The 23,201-nt window shown below is 34.1% G+C and overlaps 1 protein-coding gene across 7 annotated transcripts in view; it reads right to left on the bottom strand.

Annotated features, from left to right (window-relative positions):
- ANKRD30A (ankyrin repeat domain 30A) overlaps positions 1 to 23,201 on the bottom strand; it is a 140,297-nt gene that overhangs the window by 45,657 nt on the left and 71,439 nt on the right. For 4 of the 7 annotated variants that reach the window (XR_007062015.1, XR_930524.4, NM_052997.3 and 1 more), the window contains 7 exons: positions 22,929 to 22,957; positions 22,758 to 22,830; positions 20,450 to 20,511; positions 18,913 to 19,003; positions 3,844 to 4,057; positions 2,360 to 2,543; positions 341 to 1,258 (listed from right to left, as the gene is read on the bottom strand). Coding sequence is in view for 5 of the 7 variants with exons in the window: in NM_052997.3 (NP_443723.3) it covers positions 341 to 1,258; positions 2,360 to 2,543; positions 3,844 to 4,057; positions 18,913 to 19,003; positions 20,450 to 20,511; positions 22,758 to 22,830; positions 22,929 to 22,957 (1,571 nt within the window). In the remaining 2 variants the exon portion in view is untranslated. Of the gene's footprint in view, positions 1 to 340; positions 1,259 to 2,359; positions 2,544 to 3,464; positions 4,058 to 18,912; positions 19,004 to 20,449; positions 20,512 to 22,757; positions 22,831 to 22,928; positions 22,958 to 23,201 lie in introns of those variants that run through there. The other 3 variants (XM_047425990.1, XM_011519758.3, XM_047425992.1) reach the window with 3 other exon arrangements.

The following is a 23,201-nucleotide window of genomic DNA, read 5'->3' as shown; positions in this document are numbered from 1 at the left end:
ACATTAAAACCTTTATTTCAACAGTAAAAGCCAATGTCATTAATGTTAATCTATTAAAAATCTTAAACTCTTAAAATTTCATCAGTGACACAATGTCTTTACTCAAAGTAAAACGTCTCTCAGCTTTAACTTTCATTTGGTGGAAATGAGGCATGTTTCTAAGCTGATATAGTAAGTGCATTTATCATCTATTTATACATACATATATTATATATATATATATATATATATATATATATATATATATATTCAACTAGATTCAGCATTTAGCCAAGGCCAAATATGACTTTAAACTTTCTTTCAGGAAGTTTGACAAGTATTTATATTTTTTGATACTTACTTCTGTTTCTGCTTTCTCTTTTTCATATTGATATATACGGTTTTTTAAATGGTTATTGTAATTAAATATCTCCTCATTTTTCTCTTTTAGGAGATGATGTTGCATTTTCCTCTCAAGAAAATGAATATCAATTGTTATCTTGCTTTTGTTGTCAGCTTTCTTATGTGCATGAACTAATTGCTGTTGAAGCCACATATTTTTGCTTTGTAGTTGAAATAATTTCTGATCTAGAGACTCCTGCTGTTCAGTGTGTTTGTTCACATTATCTTGTTCGTTTTGATACATGTGTTCAGCTTCCTTCATTTGACACTGTGTTTCACGTTGGTCTCTTTGTGCATGTTCTGAAACCAATGTATTTTCTCTTAGAGCATCTCCTGCATAATTGAGATTAATTTTTAGGCTTTTGGATTTCCTTTGAGCTTCAGAAAGTGGTTGATGGAGCACCTCATTGTTATATATCGTACTACTCACATCAACATTCATTTTTCTTTGCAAACAAGCATCTCCTGCAATGTGGAAAGCAGGTTCTTGACTTTTTCTTGATGTCACAATTTGATCATGGTCTTGTACAGCAGAAGCCAGTCTAGGATGGTGTGATTCAATTTCTGCCTCTAGTATTTCTTTGTCTTGTTTTTCCTTCAATTTAGAAGTGAGCATTGTGTTCTCAGCTATCAGAACTTTAAGCTGCCCACTATATTGAGATGCCCTTTTAGTTAATGATTCCTCTTTCAGTTTTAGGGTCATCTGAAGTTCAGCATTCTTTTCTTTTAAAATCTTAATGTCCTCAAAGTATTTATTTTCCTTTTCCTGGTATTGGTGTTTCAGTGTGGCTATTTCCAGTTTTAGCATGGCAATTTCCTTTTTCAACATGCAATTTTCATGTAAGAGATAATTTTCATTTTCATGAGTGTGAGAAACCTAAATAAAACAAAATAAACTTTTAGCTAGCACTCAATAAAATGGCATATCATGGTTCCTCTGAAACTAAAGAATAACTTGTACATTTATACAATGAAAGGGTTTTTATAAGTAGGTATCAGTTGAAGAACCACTGAATCAAAACTTTAAATGCTATAGAGCATAAATTCCCCAAAGTTCAAACATTTATTTGAAGACAACGAATTCATGAAAGTACAAAAGAAATGACTAGAGAGTTTTTAAGAACCTCGGAATTGAAAAAAAAAACTTTCCCTGAATTACAACAAGCTCAAAAGCATAAAATAAAAGATAAATCAATTTGACTACATACGAAAATTGGGTTTACACTCTGATGTCTAACATATACTAAGAATCTTAGTGCTGCATATATTTAGACAGATAAAATTTCCCAGAGCTCTTTCAGTTCCTTTTTCCTGATAATATTCTCTAGATATTCTATCTTTTTAAAAAATATAGTTAATTTTAAGAATTATATTTATGAATGTTTGATAAGTTGAGACATTGTAACAAGCACTTTTAGTTATCACAATTCTGAAAGGAAAAGATTAAAAATATAAACAAGTTGTAGGATTTTCTCCCAGTCTTCTGAGTCTACATCCAGGACTTCACCAAATCTCAGTTCATTCTACTGGGTAAATATGTAAATATAAAAGAAGTCTTCTATTTCAAAACAAAAGAAAGAAGATAAAATCTAGAGAGCCCTACATAGAAAACCATGAGCTTATTTACTATGGCTGTAACTTTTGCTTCCTCTTGATAATGTTTGAGTCAGTATTAAATGTTAACTAGGAAAAACACTAAACTATGTTGCTAGGAACAAACTACTTACCAATAAATTATCACTAACTATATGGTAGGGATTATCATTGTTTTCAAAAGCTCTTTGTACTGAAATAAGATACTACTTGGATGTCATAACTTATAATAAATAACTGTAGCTACAAATGTGATAGTTAATTTTAAGACAACATTTTTGTTTGATTTAGACCTGAATAATACATACTAAATCAAAGGGATATTAAAAGTAATATTGATGAAATAAAGTTAGAAATATAAAATTTTTATCAGAGATTGATTTACCTGATTCAAATTACTTTCTACACTCTTCAATTCTATATCTTGTATTCTGAGAGCCTGTTCAAGTTGTTGTTTCACTTCTAACTCTTTCCTATGCTGCTCTTCGATTCTTCCTAATTCTTCCCTAATTTTTTCATTTAATATATCGGCATTTCTTCTCTTCTCTTCTTCTTGGTTTAAAGTCAATCTGCCATTAAACATACTTATCTTAAAATTCATTTTGTTAGAAAATAGAATTCATTTTGAGATCTATTTCTTCCTATATTGGGTTATTAGTCCAATAAAATTCCTATATTCTTGAATTTTTTTCTTCCTAGTTCTCAGCTATTTATTACTCCAAACTCTTCCAAATGACATACATACTTGAAAAATAGCGAGAAAAGAACATCTTCCAGTTAGAAAGTTTCTGCTACTATTAACTGCAACGACTGTTATAGAAAAGAATATTGGAAGCTATCCAGTAAATTTATAAGTTGAAAATTATTTTTTAAAAATCTCACGCAGTCAAAATTACTCCTCAATGAGGACAGATTATTTAGAGTTAACTGATTAAAGTGACTGATTAAAGTTAACTGATTACTTTTTATGAACAAGTTTACAGATCTGTTAGACATAAATATTCATACTTCTAAAATATGGCAAGTATCCCTAAAAATAATTTTAATATTAAAATCTCAGATTAGGTTAAAGAGTCTAATATCTGTTATCCCATATGCCTTTTGTTTCTTTTTTGAGTAATGCTTTAAACGTACCTTGTTGATTATTATATATTTTATCAACAAATTTTAAATCTCTTTTAGAACAAGACAGAATATAATATTTAATTAAAGAATAAAAATAGTATGCATTTTTAACATAGAACTCTGAATTCATTTTATGTAGGACAGCAAGAGATGTTGAATAAACTAATAAATTATTATACATTTTCTTTATATTCCATGCACATTAAGATTAAAAGTGTATAATTGAAAGAAATCGAGTCTTGGGGAAAGAAGAATGGCCATTTCACGCTCTCTTTGTTGAACTGTAATGAATATACATTTTCTTGAGAACAATTTAGAAGTAATGAACAAATAACTTCTTAAAAACTTCCTATAACTTAACCAAATATTTTTATATTGAAGAATTTATTTCAAGTCAATAATTAGAAAAGTAGAAAAAGTTTTACATGCAGTTATGCCTTGCAGCATTTATAATACAGAAAGTTAAAAATCAAAAAACTTAATTTGTTAAGTAAGTAATGGGATTTCCAAATAATGGCCTTCTATATAGCCATTAAAACTGTGATTTAAATAAATATGCATTTAATTATCAGCAGAAGTATTCACATTTAAGAACTTGTATTATTTAAAGAATTTGACACTCTACAAGACAGACATTTTTTTCTCCAGTAAAACCTCAGAAGGTAAGTCAGCTATTACAAAAAGTATCCTACGTAGTTTTAGTATAAATAGCTGAAATATTTATTTAAAACTAGGAAATCACACCTCACACTGCAGAGCTCTTGTTCCCATTTAACTTTTTGGTTCTCTAACTGTGATTTTATTTCTTTTGCTTCTGACAGTTTCTTTTTCAGTACACAAAACTTCTTTTTCATTTGTTCCATTTTTCCTGTACGTTGTTCACAGTGATCTTTTTGAAGTTCCCTTGCTCTTTCACAAGAATGAACTGTATCCAAGATTTTTGATAGGCTAGTTGAATCTGTCTCAAGGAGGAGATACAAATAAAATATATTAGTACTTTTGGGATATAAAGGGCTGCATATTTTAACAATCACTTATACACTGAACAAATATATATTGATTGCCTACCACGTGGAAGGCATTATACTAAGCTCTGCAGATTAAACAGAAAAAAAAAAAACCTCTCCTCTTGTTTAGCTTAAAATATACTGAAAAGCAAAGCCCCAGAAAAGTGACAATTATAAATTCAGATAGATACTGTAAGAAAACAGATTGCTAAGAATAAGATATATACTAGGCCCACAGAAAATTCCCCTGAGGAATGTATGGCTACACTGTGGAATAAAGATTGAAAAGGAAGCAGTTGAGCAAAGGGGGAAGAAAAGCATTTTAGCCAGTGTGTGGCATGTGCTGAAGCTCTAGTGTAGTCTGACCCCAGCCAAAAGAGAACAATGGGTATTGATTTTTCTTCTTAGCTAAAATAACTAAAAAGAAAACACACAAAATACATTAAACAATTTTTTTAGACAGTGGACATTAGGCAAAGAAGATGATAATCCCTGAAAAACAGAAAAAAAATGGAAAGCAAACCTTATGAATGTTTCAGCTTCCTGCTTTGACAGAGATTCCAAGACGTGACACAGGAAGAAAAAACTGAGGTGGAACCTATCAGACTCTCTTGGTTACAGTGATGAAGCTTAGAGTCTGGTAAAACCAAAGCAGACAGACATTACAGAACAAAACACTGAGGAGGGGAGAGAGATACAGAAGCAATAGCAAGAAACCCCTGGAAACCCCTCCTACTATTTAGCAAAATAATAAAGATTGCATGTGAGTCAGAAAACTACCTAAGACCAAGCTGGGTCGGGGGGGTCTTACAAAATTAGAGAAAATCACACCTGGTTCTCACATAGTGGCAAGAAGAGTGTCTATTTTTATAGATTTACCTGGAAGACTCAGACTTCACAGGAAAATGAATAGTCAGAAAGGCCTTGCCCCTCAGGTGTGGGGAGTTAGCTCATACCATAAAAAGCAAAAATGAAAAAGATCAAGCTGTTTATAAGTAACTCAACTCTATTCTACAATAAAAATCAAGAAGATAAGTAGAGCAATAGAATATACTTTTAAAAACTAAATTGCACTTGTAGAGATACAAGTTACAATGCCGGAGATGAAAGCTACACTGAGTAGATATGAGCATAGATTGATTTGCCATCAGGAAAGAAAAGATTCACAAATTTGAGACACTAGAGAACTATGAGCAAACTCCCAGCAGGTAATATATAAGTCTCCAAACAGGTAGGAGGAGAGACAGAAAAAAACATTTGAGGAAAAATTGGCTAAATACATTCTAAACTTAATGAAAGCTACAATCCCACAGATCCAGGCTGGGATCTGGCTGGAAGAGAAGAAATGAAAATACACAATTGTAATTTCTTATACCATCTATGATATGATATAATATTACTTGAAGATGGGTTGTGATGAGGTAAATCCATACACTATAAATCCTAAAAAAACCACTAAGACAGCAAAGCAAAGAGTTATACCTAATAACCAAATAAACTTATACCACAAAAAGATATGACTAAATCATAAAGAAATATAAAACTAGATCAATAACTAAAAAAGTTATACATATATATATATATATATATACCTATAAAACTAAATCATAAAAATTACTAAACTAGTCTGAAGGAAGCAGAAAAAGAACAAAAGCAAAGCAAAGAAGATCTGGAACTAATAGAAATCAAACAGCATGATGACAGCAAACTTTTATCATATCAATAATTACATTATAAATTAAAGTGGTCTAAAAACCTCTGCTCAAAAGCAGATTGTCAGAATGGATATAAAAGTAAGATCTACCTGTGTAATGCCTATAAGAAATAAACTTTAAATATAAAGACAAAAATTGATTAAAGATGAAACAACATATACCACACTAACACTTGACAAAAGAAGGCTGAGGAAGGGTGGTTGTATTAATACCAAAGTACATTTCATAGCAAAAATATTACCAGCAATAAACAAAGTCATTTTATAGTGACAAAGGGTTCACTTAATCAAGAAAACATAACAGTCCTAAATATTTATGTGCATAATAACATAAATCCTTCAAAATACATGATACAAAGATAGAACTGCAAAAGAAATGGACAAATGCCCAAGTGTGGTCTAAAATTTCTAAACCCCTTACTCAAGTGGTAAAATGAGAGGCAGAAAATCGGCAAGAATGTGATAGACTTAACACCATTCTTCAGAAGTACTCAAAGACTATATTCTAGATCATATCTTAATAAAAGGATTAAGAAGGATTTAAGTCATACAAAACATGTTACCTGACCCAAAAGCAATCAAATTAAAAATCAATAATAAAAAAGTACCTGAAACAACTCAACTATTGGAAATTAAGTAACATACATCCAAATAACCCTGGGTTGGTTCAAAAATAATAAAAAGGAAAATTAGAAAGTATTTTGAACTAATTTCAAATGAAAACACAACACATTAGATATTGTAAAATGCATCTACAACAGCACTTAAATTAAAATTTTCAGCACTGAATGTCTACATTAGAAGACTCTCAAATAAATAACTTTGACTTTTACCTTAAGAAACCAAAAAAAAAAAAAAAAAGAAGAAGAAGAAAAAAGTAAACTCAGTGGAAGCAGAGGAAAGGAAATGATGAATATCTGTACTGGTTTGAATGTTTTTGTCCTTGCAATTTTCGTATGCTAAAATCAAATCATAGAGGTGATGTTATTAGGAGGTAGGAGTTTTGGGATGTAATTAGGTCATGAGGGCCAACCCTTCATAAATGGATTAATGCCCTGATAGAAATAACCCCAGAGAGCCTCTTTACCCTTTCTGCCATGTGAAGACACAGGGAAAAACAGTGCATCGATGAATCATGAAGTGGTACCTATTCAGACATCAAATCTGATGATACCTTGATCTTGAACTGTGCAGCTTCCACAATGGTGAGAATTCAATTTATGTTGCCGATAAGCTCCCAACTACAGATTTTTTAAATAATAGGCAAAGAGAACTAAAACATCAGAGATGGAACGAATAAAACGCAAAAATGATAGAAAACTTGAACAACACCAAACACTTTGAGAGGATCAATAAAAGCAAAAGTCTATCTAGCCAAACTAGCTCTTGAAAACAAAAACTACAAATTACCAAGTTTGAAAATGAGTTAATGTGACATTCTTTAAGATTCTACAGATACTTAAAAATACATGGTAATAATATAAAATTTATGTGAATAAACATGACAACTTAGACAAAATTGACAAATTCATTGAAATGTGAAAATTACCATCTGATCTTTGACAAAACTGAAAAAAAAAGCAATGGGGAAATAATTCCCTATTTAATAAATGGTGTTGGGAAAGCTAGCTGGCCATATGCAGAAAACTGAAACTCGACCCCTTCCTTACACCTTACACAAAAATTAACTCAACATGGATTAAAGACGTTATTTCTGAGGACTCTGTTCTATTCCATTGGTCTATATCTCTGTTTTGGTACCAGTACCATGCTGTTTTGGTTACTGTAGCCTTGTGGTATAGTTTGAAGTCAGGTAGCGTGATGCCTGCAGCTTTGTTCTTTTGGCTTAGGATTGACTTGACAATGCGGGCTCTTTTTTGGTTCCATATGAACTTTAAAGTAGTTTTTCCAATTCTGTGAAGAAGGTCATTGGTAGCTTGATGGGGATGGCATTGAATCGATAAATTACCTTGGGCAGTATGGCCATTTTTACGACATTGATTCTTCCTACCCATAAGCGTGGAATGTTCTTCCATTTGTTTGTATCCTCTTTTATTTCATTGGGCAGTGGTTTGTAGTTCTCCTTGAAGAGGTCCTTCACATCCCTTGTAAGTTGGATTCCTAGGTATTTTACTCTCTTTGAAGCAATTGTGAATGGGAGTTCACTCATGATTTGGCTGTCTGTTTGTCTGTTATTGGTGTATAACAATGCTTGTGATTTTTGCACATTGATTTTGTATCCTGAGACTTTGCTGAGGTTGCCTATCAGCTTGAGAAGATTTTGGGCTGAGACGATGGGGTTTTCTAGATATACAATCATGTCGTCTGTAAAAAGGGACAATTCAACTTCCTCTTTCCCTAATTGAATACCCTTTATTTCCTTCTCCTGCATGATTGCCCTGGCCAGAACTTCCAACACTATGTTGAATAGGAGTGGTGAACCATCAAAAATTGGGCAAAGGATATGAACAGACACTTCTCAAAAGAAGACATTTATGCAGCCAAAAGACACATGAAAAAATGCTCATCATCACTGGCCATCAGAGAAATGCAAATCAAAACCACAATGAGATACCATCTCACACCAGTTAGAATGGCGATCATTAAAAAGTCAGGAAACAACAGGTGCTGGAGAGGATGTAGAGAAATAGGAATGCTTTTACACTGTTGGTGGGACTGTAAATTAGTTCAACCATTGTGGAAGTCAGTGTGGTGATTCCTCAGGGATCTAGAACTAGAAATACCATTTGACCCAGCCATCCCATTACTGGTTATATACCCAAAGGATTATAAAACATGCTGCTATAAAGACACATGCACACATATGTTTATTGCAGCACTATTCACAATAGCAAAGACTTGGAACCAACACAAATGTCCAACAATGATAGACTGGATTAAGAAAATGTGGCACATATACACCATGGAATACTATGCAGCCATAAAAAATGATGAGTTCATGTCCTTTGTAGGGACATGGATGAAGCTGGAAACCATCATTCTCAGCAAACTAGCACAAGAACAGAAAACCAAACACCACATGTTCTCACTCATAGGTGGGAATTGAACAATGAGAACACATGGACACAGGAAGGGGAACATCACACACCAGGGCCTGTTGTGGGGTGGGGGAGGGATAGCATTAGGAGATATACCTAATGTTAAATGATGAGCCAATGGGTGCAGCACACCAATATGGCACATGTATACATATGTAACTAACCTGCATGTTATGCACATGTACCCTAAAACTTAAAGTATAATAATAAAAAAAATTCTAGATAAAAAAAAAGATGGATTAAACACTTAAACATAAGACCTAAAACCATAAAAAGCCTAGAAGAAAACCTAGGCAATATCATTCAGGACATAGGCATGGGAAAGACTTCATGACTAAAACACTAAAAGCAATGGCAACAAAAGCCAAAATTGACAAATGGGACTTAATTCAACTAAAGAGCTTCGGCACAGCAAAAGCAACTAACATCAAAATGAACAGGCAACCTACAGAATGGGAGAAAATTTTTGCAATCTATCCATCTGACACAGGGCTAATATCCAGAATGTACAAGAACTTAAACAAATTTACAAGGAAAAAACAAACAACCCCATCATAAAGTGAGCAAAGGATATGAACAGATACTTCTTCAAAGATCACATTTATGCAGCCAACAAACATATGAAAAAAAGCTCATCATCACTGATCATTAGAGAAATGCAAATCAAAACCACAATAAGATATCATCTCACGCCAGTTAGAATGGCAATCATTAAAAAGTCAGGAAACAACAGATGCTGGAGAGGATGTGGAGAAATAGAATCGTTTTTACACTGTTGGTGGGAGTGAAAATTAGTTCAACCATTGTAGAAGAGAGTGTGGCGATTCCTCAAGGATCTAGAACCAGAAATACCATTTGACCCAGCGATCCCATTACTGGTTATATACCCAAAGGATTATAAATCATTCTATTATAAAGACACATGCATACATAGGTTTATTGGGGGAGTATTCTCAATAGCAAAGACTTGGAACCAACTCAAATGTCCATCAATGATAGACATTGGATAAAGAAAATGTGGCACATATACACCATAAAATACTATGCAGTGATAAAAAAGGATATGAATTCATGTCCTTTGCAGGGACATGGATGAAGCTGGAAACCATCATTCTCAGCAAACTAGCACAAGAACAGAAAACCAAACACTGCATGTTCTCACTCATAAGTGGGAGTTGAACAATGAGAACATATGGACACAGGGAGGGGAACATCACACACCAGGGACTGTTGGGGATGAGGGGCTGGGGGAGGGGTAGCATTAGGAGAAATACCTAATGTAGATGATGGGTTGATGGGTACAGCAAACCACCATGGAATGTGTATACCTATGTAACAAACCCACATGTTCTGCACATGTAACCTAGAACTTAAATTATAATATAAGAAAACCTTTTTAACTAGGAATGACAGTATACTGATTCTGGCAAAGGTTCAAAGGAAATTTTTATGTAAAAGATCCAACTCTCTTTTGCCAAAATATAAATGATGTCAACAATAGGAAAATAAGATCTAGTCAGTGTCAAAAAAAATATAATATCTCAAGAAAAAATAGTTAACCTGCATTGCCCTAAATATATAAAAGAAGATTAAGTCATAGTTAAAAGTCTTCCTACATTGAAAAGTCCAGGAAAAGAATCCTACACTGGTGAGTTCTACCAAATATTTTAGAAAAAAAGAGGTATAATTCTAAACAAACTCTACTCCTAAAATAAAAGAAAGTATGACATAGTTTGGATGTGTGTCCCCACCAAAATCTCCCATTGAAATGTCATCTCCAATGTTGGCAGTAAAGCTTGGTGAGAGGTGAATGCATCATGAGGGAAGATTTCTCACAAATAATTTAGCACCGTGCCTTTGGTGCTGTACTCACAATAGTGATCCTCATGAATATTGGTCATTTAAACATGCATGGCACCTCCCACCTCTCTCTCTTGCTCCTGCTCTGGCCATGTGATGTGCAAGTTCTTCCTCACGTTCCACCATAATTGTAAGCTTCCACAGGCCTCCCCAGAAGCAGAGCCCCACGTTATGCTTCCTGTACAACCTGTAGAACTGTGCGCCAATGAAATCTATTTCCTCATAAATTACCCAATCTCAGGTATTTCTCTATAGCAATGCACAAATAGCCTAATACACAGTACATTTTAACTCATTGTATAATGCTAGCATTACTCTAAATCAAAACCAGATGATATTATTACAAACAAGAGAACTGCCTTATGAACATGATTGCAAAAATTCAACCAATTTGTGAGGCAATAATGATAACCTTAGAAAGATGAGTGTATAAACTGTGCTATAGTCATACAATGGAATATTACTAAGGACTCAAAAGAGATGAACTATCAAGCTATGAAAAGACATGAAAAGACTTAAATGCATATTTCTAAAAATGACATTATCCAGAAAACAAAATTATGTATAGATAGAGTAAAAAGATCAGTGGTTGCCAAAGGGTTGAGGAATAAAGTCGTGTGCTGATATCCTGTGTTTTTTCAGCTTTCAGACTTTTGGCTCATCTTTCCAATCTGAAAAGAGAGTCACTTCTTCTATTTAAGTTTACTTTCACTTGCTTGAGACATGTTATCACCTTGGAGGGTGTGGCTTTAACATATGCTGAAGAATGCAATTTGTTTCTGAGTGCTGTCAGGGGAGTCAGCCTCTGTATGATTCTTTTGGTTATATGTAAACTTAGTATGGTGGTTTTCCCAAATGCTAGTTCTCATGGCAGCATACTGGGCAGGTGAGAAGGCCCTCAATTTGCTGCAGAAATGAGAAAGTGGAGGTCTCAAGAAGCCTACATCATTTCCCTATCCACACTTGAGTCAGCAAATTTTGTAATGGGGTGTGCAGTGCAACCTCCCAGCCAACAAATGGTGACCACAGGTTAGAATGTACTGTGGCAGAAGCGGATAAGAATATGCTTTGTCTTTGTTTTACCGGTAGGAACTCTCTGTTACCTCAGGTTATCGGCAAGTCTGTGTAATGCCCAGTGCCCTGAATTCTCTACTCAGCTCCAGAAAGAAGGACGAAGCTGAGCAAAACTACACTGACAAGCTGGACTGGACTGACAAAACTGGCTTGATGTTTGGATACCCTAATGAGGGGCACAGACACCAGCCAAGACAAGGGTCTCAGGAAAAGCTCTTAGTGAATTGCAAAGAGGCTCCCAGAGGAAAGAGAAAATGCAGCATCAGTTCTATGTCCTGAGTGGTCATGAATGGCTCTGCTTCCTTATCAAAACCCTGACCTAAGACTCATAAAGAGCTCGTATGAATTTTTTTTTCTTCTAAAAAGCAGTCTCTTGTCTTCCTTTCCCCACAAAAAACACACTATGTCTGATAGTCACCATTTACCCAGATATGTTTAATTAAATATCAACCCTCATTTTCTTTCAGGAATTAATATTTTACTATTACTTTCTTTAATTGACTCAGCAAACTTTATGACATAGTTTGTTTTCCAGGATAAATTATTCATCAATAAGATTCTTCAAAGATATATATACTTTTCTATCAATGAAATTTATGTCTAGTCATTTAAAGTTTAAAGAGGTATGAGACTATTCTGTCAATGAATTATACAGACATGGACTTTAAAACACTTTATTGAATATATTTTCAAAAAACTATTATAATGATAATGATATAGTCTCTTTCTAATGCACCAATATATTAAGAATGTACTTGTGAAATTTTGGATAAATATATTAGAAATTTATATAAAAATAATAGCCATAAGTGACCTAATTTTTCACAAGTTAAAAAAAAAAGTCTAGGTTCAAACTATATCAAAAGTGTGCAGAGTCCCAGGTGACAAAAAGTAAGTATGTAACTATTTTCCTTCATAAACAAAAACATTGAGTTTAAAATTTTTAAGTGACAAAAGAAAAAAGCAAAGAACACACAAGGAAAATTTTACAAGCCATTTAATCATTTAGAGCCCATTTATCATATGGCATCTATGAATCTCACACATGGCTAACATATACTGGTTATAAATTGTGAGAGTTTCTGAAGTACAAGATACACTTCAGAATCACTTATATCAGTAAACTACAAACATTCATCATATTCTTTAATTTATCTTATAATTGAGAAGGTACACAGTTACAATGAGAGTTTAGCTGAATGTAAAATTGATGTCTCATCAACGAAAGTATAATGAATTTATGAGTATGGATGTATATTAGAAAATAATGGTAAATAAAATATTCATTGTTTTCCATACACATGGTGTAATTTTATGCCTACATTTTTTTGCATCCTCTCACTTATCCATCTGAATGTTTTTTGATCCCCTCATGTAAGAGGGCATATAAAACTCATAAAGAAAATAATGTATAAAAAACTTTCAATATTGAAATATGTATTCAACAACTTAATTGTTAAATATTAATTAAGTATAACCATTTTTATTTTGAAATCAGTATAATATTTATGTAAAAATCAGTTTTAGTATTCAAGTAATAAATTTAGCATTTTTTGTTTGTTTCTAAAATCAGTCTGATTTATCATGTTAGTCTCTAAGAAATTTTTATTTTTTCATTTTTATTTTTTTTGAGATGGGAGTCTCACTCTGCCACCCAGGCTGGAGTGCAGTGGAGCAATCTCAGCTCACTGCAGTCTCTGCCCCCTGGGTTCAAGCAATTCTCCTGCCTCAGCCTCCTGAGTAGCTGGGTTTACAGGCATGTGCTACCAAGCCCAGCTAATTAATTTTTGTATTTTTAGTAGAGACTGGGTTTCACCATGTTGGCCAGGCTGGTCTCGAACTGCTGACCCCAAGTGATCTGCCCGCCTTGGCCTCCCAAAGTGCTGGGATTACAGGCATGAGCCACCGGGCCCAGCCTTCTAACAGATTTTATAAAGCAGAAATTTTACAAAAAAAAGCCAATGGATTCATATTCAAATTTATCTCACTTAAATAAATAATATCAACAAAACATATCTCTATGAATCCTGAAAGTAACAGAGAAGAGTAATGAGTCACTGTGGGAGTCGCCAAATCTAGTAATACCTCCTTCTTCCAATACTCTCCAGAGCACACACAATCTCATCTTCTGGAGTGCAAACATTCCAAATGCATCTGAAGTGAATTCACTCAAGTTTCCTTCTCAGAAACCTCAAAATTAAGTTCATAGCTTCTTCCCCCCTCCCACTTCATGCCTCACAATTGCTATTCTTTAGCAAAATAATCTCCGGATCTGGATCTGTGGTCTTGATTCTTTCCCTTCAACACTTTTTAAAATAAATTTTCCTACCAGTTTCTTTCTCTTGTTCAGAAGTAATATCGTGCATCTATAAATTCTGTTTTTGCTTTTTAACCTCTTTCTTCTCCTCTTCTGGCTAAAAACATACTCAGATATAAAATCAAAATAATGCTTTCCCTTGACTCTGTTATGTCTTGACATTCTATCCAATTGCTCTTCTTCCAAATTATTTCAATGAAAACTCTATACCTTCGCTACTCAGTGTACAGTCCAAGAACCACCAGCATCAGCATCATCAGAGAATTTATTAAAATTGCATGACCTCAAGTCTGCTGAATCAGAATGTGCACTGTTAACAAGTTTTATAGCTCATTTCTTAAAGTTTGAAACCTTCTAGACAATACTGAAAAAATATATACATGTGTGGCTGCTCATATATGCTTATATTCACCAATAATAGATAAAACACAGCTTCACATAGTCAGGTAATTCCATCTCCAATGTCTTCCACAAGCGTGTAAGTACGGGTGGAAATTTTTTTTGTTGTTATTATACATTAAGTTCTAGAGTACATCTGCACAACGTGCAGGTTTTTTACATATGTATACATGTGCCATATTGGTGCACTGCACCCATTAACTCGTCATTTACATTAGGTATTTCTCTTAATGCTATCCCTCCCACCTCCCCCCACCCCATGACAGGCCCCCGTGTGTGATGTTGCACTTCCTGTGTCCAAGTGTTCTCATTGTTCAATTCCCACCTATGGGTGAGAACATGTGATGTTTGGTTTTCTGTCCTTGCGATAGTTTGCTCAGAATGATGGTTTCCAGCTTCATCCATGTCCCTACAAAGGATATGAACACATCCTTTTTTATGGCTGCAGAGAATTCCATGGTGTATATGTGCCACATTTTCTTAATCCAGTCTATCATTGATGTATATTTGGGTTAGTTCCAAGTCTTTGCTATTGTGAAGAGTGCTGCAATAAACATATGTGTGCATGTGTCTTTACAGTAGCACGATTTATAATCCTTTGGGTATATAACCAGTAATGGGATCCCTGGGTCAAATGGTATTTCTAGTTCTAGATCCTTCAGGAATCACCACACTGTCTTCCACAATGGTTGAACTAGTTTACACTCCCACCAACAGTGTAAAAGCGTTCCTATTTCTCCACATCCTCTCCAGCACCTGTTGTTTCCTGACTTTTTAATGATCGCCATTCTAACTGGTGTGAGATGATATCTCATCATGGTTTTGATTTGCATTTCTCTGATGACAGGTGATGATGAGGATTTTTTCATGTGTCTGTTGTCTGCATAAATATCTTCTTTTGAGAAGTGTCTGTTCATATCCTTTGCCCACTTTTTCATGGGGTGTTTGATTTTTTCTTGTAAACTTAAGTTTTTGTAGATTCTGGATATTAGCCCTTTGTCAGATGGGTAGATTGCAAAAAGGTTGCCTGTTCATTCTCATGGTAGTTTCTTTTGCTGTGCAGAAGAAGCTCTTTAGTTTAATTAGATCCCATTTGTCAATTTTGGCTTTTGTTGCCATTGCTTTTGGTGTTTTAGTCATGAAGACTTTGCCCATGCCTTTGTCCTGAATGGTATTGCCTAGGTTTTCTTCTAGGGTTTTTATGGTTTTAGGTCTAACATTTAAGTCTTTAATCCATCTTGAATTAATTTTTGTATAAGTTGTAAGGAAGGGATCCAGTTTCAGCTTTCTACATATGGCTAGCCAGTTTTCCCAGCACCATTTATTAAATAGGGAATCCTTTCCCCATTTCTTGTTTTTGTCTGGTTCATCAAAGATCAGATGGTTGTAGATGTGTGGTTCTGTTCCATTCATCTATATCTCTGTTTTGGTACTAATACCATGCTGTTTTGGTTACTGTAGCCTTGTAGTATAGTTTGAAGTCAGGTAGTGTGATGCCTCCAGCTTTGTTATTTTGGCTTAGGATCGTCTTGGCACTGCAGGCTCTTTTTTGGTTCCATATGAACTTTAAAGTAGTTTTTCCAATTCTGTGAAGAAAGTCATTGGTAGCTTAATGGGGATGGCATTGAATCCATAAATTACCTTGGGCAGTATGGCCATTTTCACGATATTGATTCTTCCTATCCATAAGCATGGAATGCTCTTCCATTTGTTTGTGTCCTCTTTTATTTCGTTAAGCAGTGGTGTATAGTTCTCCTTGAAGAGGTCCTTCACATCCCTTGTAAGTTGGATTCCTAGATATTTTATTCTCTTTGAAGCAATTGTGAATGGGAGTTCACTCATGATTTGGTTCTCTGTTTGTCTGTTATTGGTGTATAAGAGTGCTTGTGATTTTTGCACATTTATTATGTATCCTGAGACTTTGCTGATGCTGCTTATATCAGCTTAAGAAGATTTCGGGCTGAGACAATGGGGTTTTCTAAATATACAATCATGTCATCTGCAAACAGGGAAAATTTGACTTCCTCTATTCCTTATTGAATACCATTCATTTCTTTCTCCTGTGTGATTGCCCTGGCCAGAACTTCCAACACTATGTTGAATAGCAGTGGTGAGAGAGGGCATCCCTGTCTTGTGCCAGTTTTCAAAGGGAATGCTTCCAGTTTTTGCCCATTCGGTATGATACTGGCTGTGGGTTTGTCATAAATAGATCTTATTATTTTGAGATACATCCCATCAATACCTAGTTTATTGAGAGTTTTTAGCATGAAGTGCTGTTGAATTTTGTCAAAGGCCTTTTCTGCATCTATTGAGATAATCATGTGGTTTTTGTTTTTGGTTCTGTTTATATGATGAATTATATTTATTGATTTGCATATCTTGAACCAGCCTTGCATCCCAGGGATGAAGCCAACTTGATCATGGTGGATAAGCTTTCTGATGTGCTGCTGGATTCGGTTTGCCAGTATTTTATTGAGGATTTTTGCATTGATGTTCATCAGGGATACTGGTCTAAAATTCTGTTTTTTTGTTGTGTCTCTGCCAGGCTTTGGTATCAGGATGATGCTGGCCTCATAAAATGAGTTAGGGAGGATTCCCTCTTTTTCTATTGATTGGAATCATTTCAGAAGGAATGGTATCAGCTCCTCCTTGTACCTCTGGTAGAATTTGGCTGGGAATCTGTCCAGTCCTGGACTTTTCTTGGTTGGTAGGCTATTAATTATTGCCTCAATTACAGAGCCTGTTATTGGTCTATTCGGGGATTCTCCTTCCTGGTTTAGTCTTGGGAGGGTGTAGCTGTCCAGGAATTTATCCATTTTTTCTAGATTCTCCAGTTTATTTGCATAGAGGTGTTTATAGTATTCTCTGATGGTAGTTTGTATTTCTGTGGGATCGGTGGTGATATCCCCTTTATCATTTTTTATTGTGTCTATTTGATTCTTCTCACTTTTCTTCTTTATTAGTCTTGCTAGCAGTCTATCATATTTGTTAATCTTTTCAAAAAACCAGCTCCTGGATTCATTGATTTTTTGAAGGATTTTTTGTGTCTCTATCTCCTTCAATTCTGCTCTGATTTTAGTTATTTCTTGCCTTCTGCTAGCTTTTGAATGTGTTTGCTCTTGCTTCTCTAGTTCTTTTAATTGTGATGTTAGTGTATCAATTTTAGATCTTTCCTGCTTTCTCTTGTGGGCATTTAGTGCTATAAATTTCCCTCTACACACTGCTTTAAATGTGTCCCACAGATTCTGGTATGTGGTGCCTTTGTTCTCATCGGTTTCAAAGAACATATTTATTTCTGCCTTGATTTCGTTATGTACCCAGTAGTCATTCTGGAGGAGGTTGTTCAGTTTCCATGTAGTTAAGTGGTTTTGAGTGAGGTTCTTAATCCTGAGTTCTAGTTTTATTGCACTGTGGTCTGAGAGACAGTTTGTGATAATTTCTGTTCTTTTACATTTGCTGAGGACTGCTTTACTTCCATCTACAATTTCTATTGCGTTGCCCCTTTCTTCTTCTCCGCTGGCTAAAAACATACTCAAAAATAAAAGTAACATAATGCTTTCTTCTGACCCTTTTCTGTCCTGACCTTCTATTCAATTGCTATTCTTCCACATTTTTCCCACAAAAGGCCTCTCCTCAGCTACTCAGATCAAGGTACAAGGACCACCAGCATCAGCATCACCTGAGAACTTTTTAAAAATGCAGAATCCCAAGTCAGCTGAATCACAGTGTGAATTGTTAACTAGGTTTCCCGCTGATTTTCTATGAAAATTTCTGGTCTATACGGAGTGTATATGACAAATTATATACATGTGTGGCCATGCAGACATGCTTATTCTCACCTATGGCAAATAGAACACAGCTCTCCATGGTCAGGTGCTTCCATCCCTAATGGCTTCCCACCAGTGAGAAAGACATTAAGAGTCAGAATACTTTTGCTGTAATTCTCTGGTAAATTTTGGTACTAGAAGGTCACTTTATATTCTTCCCAAATTTCTAACCACACCCAATCTTTTCCTAAACAATCATTTCATCATCCTCCATTATATAAACCTGATTCTTGTTCCTTCATGTACTCTCTGTACGCTCTGTCTTTCTCAGTCTTCATTTCCTCTTTTACTACTTTCTTCTTTCTTATTTTCTCATTGTCCTCAGGTCTTGGAATATCTTGAATTCAAACTAATAATTCACCTCCTTCTCAGCACTCTCAATATAGTCTTTTGCCAACACCTGATGAGACATATAACTTATGACCATTGCACTTCTCTTTTTTTCCATGGTTTGCATTTAGGAGGTAATTTTCTTCAGCTATTAGAGCATATCCTTCCTCATCATTTTAGAGAAATACTTGGTCAAATGACCTTTTAAATAAAAGATGGTTCTTACCTTCTAATTTTCCACTTATTTTATCCATTTCTTTTTGATGTGTAGCCTTGGGTACACACACATCCTTCTGTGAAACAGTCTCACGGAGACTCTGTTAAAAGTAATATCAATAAATAATTTCAATGGAAAAATCCTAATAATGAAGATTATCAAAATTTCCTAATTAAAATCTTTTTTTAAAAAAAAGTCCTATTTTGCAAGCAATTCAACTTAAGAGCAGACACGTATAAAAAAAAACATTTTAATAGAAAACCTCACATAACCCTCTCTACATCAAGCTGATCTTTATGTCCATGTGGCCATTAACTCGGTGACTGAGCAGGAAAAACAAATCATATACACGAAAAAATTCAATCGTGCATATTTCAAAACGTATCTCTCTTAAAAATATCTAACATGTTGTCGTCCTCAACAACAATAAATATGACATTTCAAACAAAATACAATACTCTTGCTACTTGCCATAACAGATACTGCATTAAACATGTAAAATATGCATGATCATACAATTGTCTAATGTTAAAAATGATGCCTGTCATGAAGAGAACTTTTAGAGTCTGTCATAGAATGTATGTACAGAATGTTGAAAAAGCTGCTTTATTTTGATAAACAAGGGCTTAAAATCAGCAACAAGTTTTTGACAAAATTTATGGTGATAAAAAAGTGCTTGAATAGAATGCAAATGCAGTAAGAAAAAAATTATGTCATGTCTAAATAAAAGCAAATAAGTATTAAAGTCTTTTTGTCCAATTACAAATCAGATAAAATCTACCTGTCTATTGACTTCCACCCTTTGCTGTTACCACCAGGCAGCAGCTGCTTGTTTCTAAGAGGTCAGATACTTTCTATGTCTTTCCGCCGTTGTGACCTTAAAATACATCACTATTATTTGACGCTCATGCTGCTGCAGCTTGACTGTCATAAAGGGACTCAAGGAGTTCCATTTGTGAAAATATAATTTATATTTTTCAAAAGACTACTCAACCAATACTCTTGTTATTATACTCCCACAAGGTTTCCTATTCCTCATGCTTTTCTTTCTGCTGAAATGTTCCTTCAGATCTATACTGAACAATAAAGATATGTCAATACGTTCAAGTCCCAGGCATTAACTTTTCAGGTCCCAACTTTTACAATACTGCAGCTTAAACTGTCTCTCTATGAATCCAATTAGAACTTTTGTACATCTAGATATAAGACAGAATCATATATTTGCCCAGAGCTGGACTCAGTGTAATTCTTTTGCTTTTAGACAAACGTACTTCAGATCCCATGTGAATTTCTAGTGAATTCTAACTCTTATTATTTCCACTGTACCACACGGGCTTCTTAAATTAATCCTACAAATTCACACAATATCACTGTGAAGCAGTAATCTACTTAGCACATAGATTCTCTATTAAGCATATTCTGAAAAATATCAAAAATAATTTGCGGGTGACATATGCAGAGGTGAGAAAATAAAGTCTAAGCATCTGATTTTATGTTTTCATATCATGCAATACTAATATTTAAAAAAATCAATAACACATAGTACCTCAGAATCCCAAGAATTTTCTTCAACCTTCTTTTGTTTTGATTCTGAAGGGAACATCTGATCTATAAAAGGTTAATCACAGATACATTCATGAGAACATTTCTCTACTATACATTTTAAAAACATATACAAATCTACTTTCATTCACGAATCTGTGGTTCCTCCTCTGTAGCCCGTATATTCTTTTTGTTGATTACAATGACTACTTCCTATAGTCAATCCGTTAGAATTGAAATCTGAAAAGTCTGAAAATTAACATTATTTCATTAGAATGCACAAAAATATAAATTTGACTAACTTCTATGAATTATTTCTTCACAAAGCAGTCACATACTCTTCTACTCTGAAACAAGGTATATCCTATATTTCCTGTTCATTCAGAAAACTTTAATTACCTACCATCTCTCATTTCTTTGTAAATTTTTATTTGGTAGTATTACTTACGTTGATTGACTCAGCAATCTCTATTACGCAGTTCTTCAAAAAAGATGATTTATCAATGAATAAGATTTTTTAGGAATATTAACTTTTTGATGTCAGTCAACTATATGTCCAACCCTTTTACATTTCAATATGCTATGACAGTGTATTGGGTGTGGTTTGGGTATGTATATGTTTTAGGAAGATAAGCTTAAAAAACTTTTATTGCATATGAATTAAGAACTGCTTTAATTACAATGACATACTTCTTCCCTAATGCAACAATGCCTTCAGAGTCAGCTTGTGACACCTTGGAGAAACATGAGAAATGTATAGGAAAAAATAATTGCCTTAAGTAATCCAACGTTCCCACATGTTATAGGATAAAATCAAGGCCCACTCAAGACTTGAGGAGTTCTCAGGAACATGAGACAGAAAATGAATTTATACCAAAAATAACGTTGAAGTTTCTTTATCAGCACAAAGTACAAATTACAACTATTTGAATCAGGTTAAAGAAAAAAGCAAACATGCACAACTAAAACTTAAAAGACCATTTCATCATTAAGGGTACGTATATCATTTGACATCCATCAATTGTATACCTGATTTTCAAAAGTAAATTTAACTTGTGATCACAGCATAGCTAACGTTCATATTTCATGCAGAGTGTCGAAGAAACTTAAATCATACTTTGGTAAGCCACCGTTTTCACTCATTTTTGGAAGTGAACCCTGGATAGTTTCAGAGATACAACGTGTTGCAACACCATATCTCTAAGAAGCTCTGGGGCACAGTTCAAATTCTTGGTGGAATGCATGATTGAACAAGGAAATATCTTAAATATTTTACTTTTAATTTCTAATAACCAAAAAATCAGCAGATAAAACTAACCTTTTAAAGATGCAGAAATCTGCATGTTTTCATTTTTATTTATTACTTATCAGCATAAAAATTGTGCAGTTAACTATGGTACTGTCATAAAATGGAATTTTATAAATAACCTAATATTAAAAACACAGTTAACTGTGTCCTATACGGATGTTTCTAAAAATTATAATGCTGATCAAAAACGAATGTTGCCGAACATTACACTGCACAACCATCTACATATTAGAAGTTGAAAAAAATTGTACATATTAAATATGACCACGCACACATGTTGTAAAATGTTTAAACATGCATAAGAATAGTTTTAAAAAACAGTTTAGAATATTGGTTACTTCTGGGCAATAAATGGTACTAGTGTAAAAAGACTCTAAAGCCAAACACTTCAGAATCACAGTTTCATGAAAAAGTGTGTTTATCAAATATTCACAAAGAAATGAATAATTCTTTTCCTCATCTTCACAAGGTAAAGTTACCACACACATACACAGGCACACACAGGCACACACGCAGACACACACACATAAACACACAGAGTTCACTAATCCGAGTTACTGATTTTCTTAGGATTCTCAAAGTGACAACACTGGAAACGAGGTAATTCAAGTTAAAACACGAGTGTTATATCAGTAAAAGATGGGATCCCCGAAATAAACCGTGGAATTTGAATCAAGCTTCGAAGAACTAAAAAAAGAAATTGGAGTTTCAACATTCACCTTCTTGAATCTTTAAGAAATACAGAAGTTCAAAATAGAAAACATTACAGTTTCAGGATACAAAAGTAGAAACATCTGAGATTAAGGCTACATTTTTTAAAAAAAATATTGAAAATTACTGTGCTTGTAATACCAGCTTTTCAAACATCAATACCAGTATTGGCATTACCTAGATCAAAACTTATCATCAAAGTTGAAAAAAATAAAGCATTGGGGATAGAAAGACCATCAAAATGTTCAATATTGAAATATTGGTCTTCGCATAGTTACATTGAAAAATGTACCTGCTCTCAATGTTTGTTCATTCTTCAATTCCAAGGCTTTATTTGGAACAGACTTTTGCATTTCAATGGCAGGCTAAATGGGGTTGGAAGCAAAATGATTAATAAAGAATGTATACTTCACAAAATACATAGTTAATAAGTCATTCAAAATGAAATCATAAAACTAAATACCTCGAAGGCAGATGGCTTCTCGGGAGGCTCTAAAAAGCAAAAGAGATTTATCATCAATCATAAGTAAATATGACAAGCCAGCCACAAATGAATGCCGTGATAGTATCTAACTGACTCCTCTTGCTCCAATTGGAGAATGAATACTTTAGATTTGGAAAGTTTTCTTTTGGTTTGTTTAGGACACACACACGACAAGAATACACTGAAGAAAATATAAATACAGGTTTCACAGATCATGCAGTTAAGACTTCAAGAGCGAGATTGTGTTTCACG

This window comes from Homo sapiens, chromosome 10 (assembly GCF_000001405.40).
Source record: "Homo sapiens chromosome 10, GRCh38.p14 Primary Assembly".
Classification (NCBI taxonomy): Eukaryota; Metazoa; Chordata; class Mammalia; order Primates; family Hominidae; genus Homo; species Homo sapiens.
The sequence above is the reverse complement of the archived record's forward strand: the minus strand, read 5'-3'. Positions and strand labels throughout refer to the sequence as shown.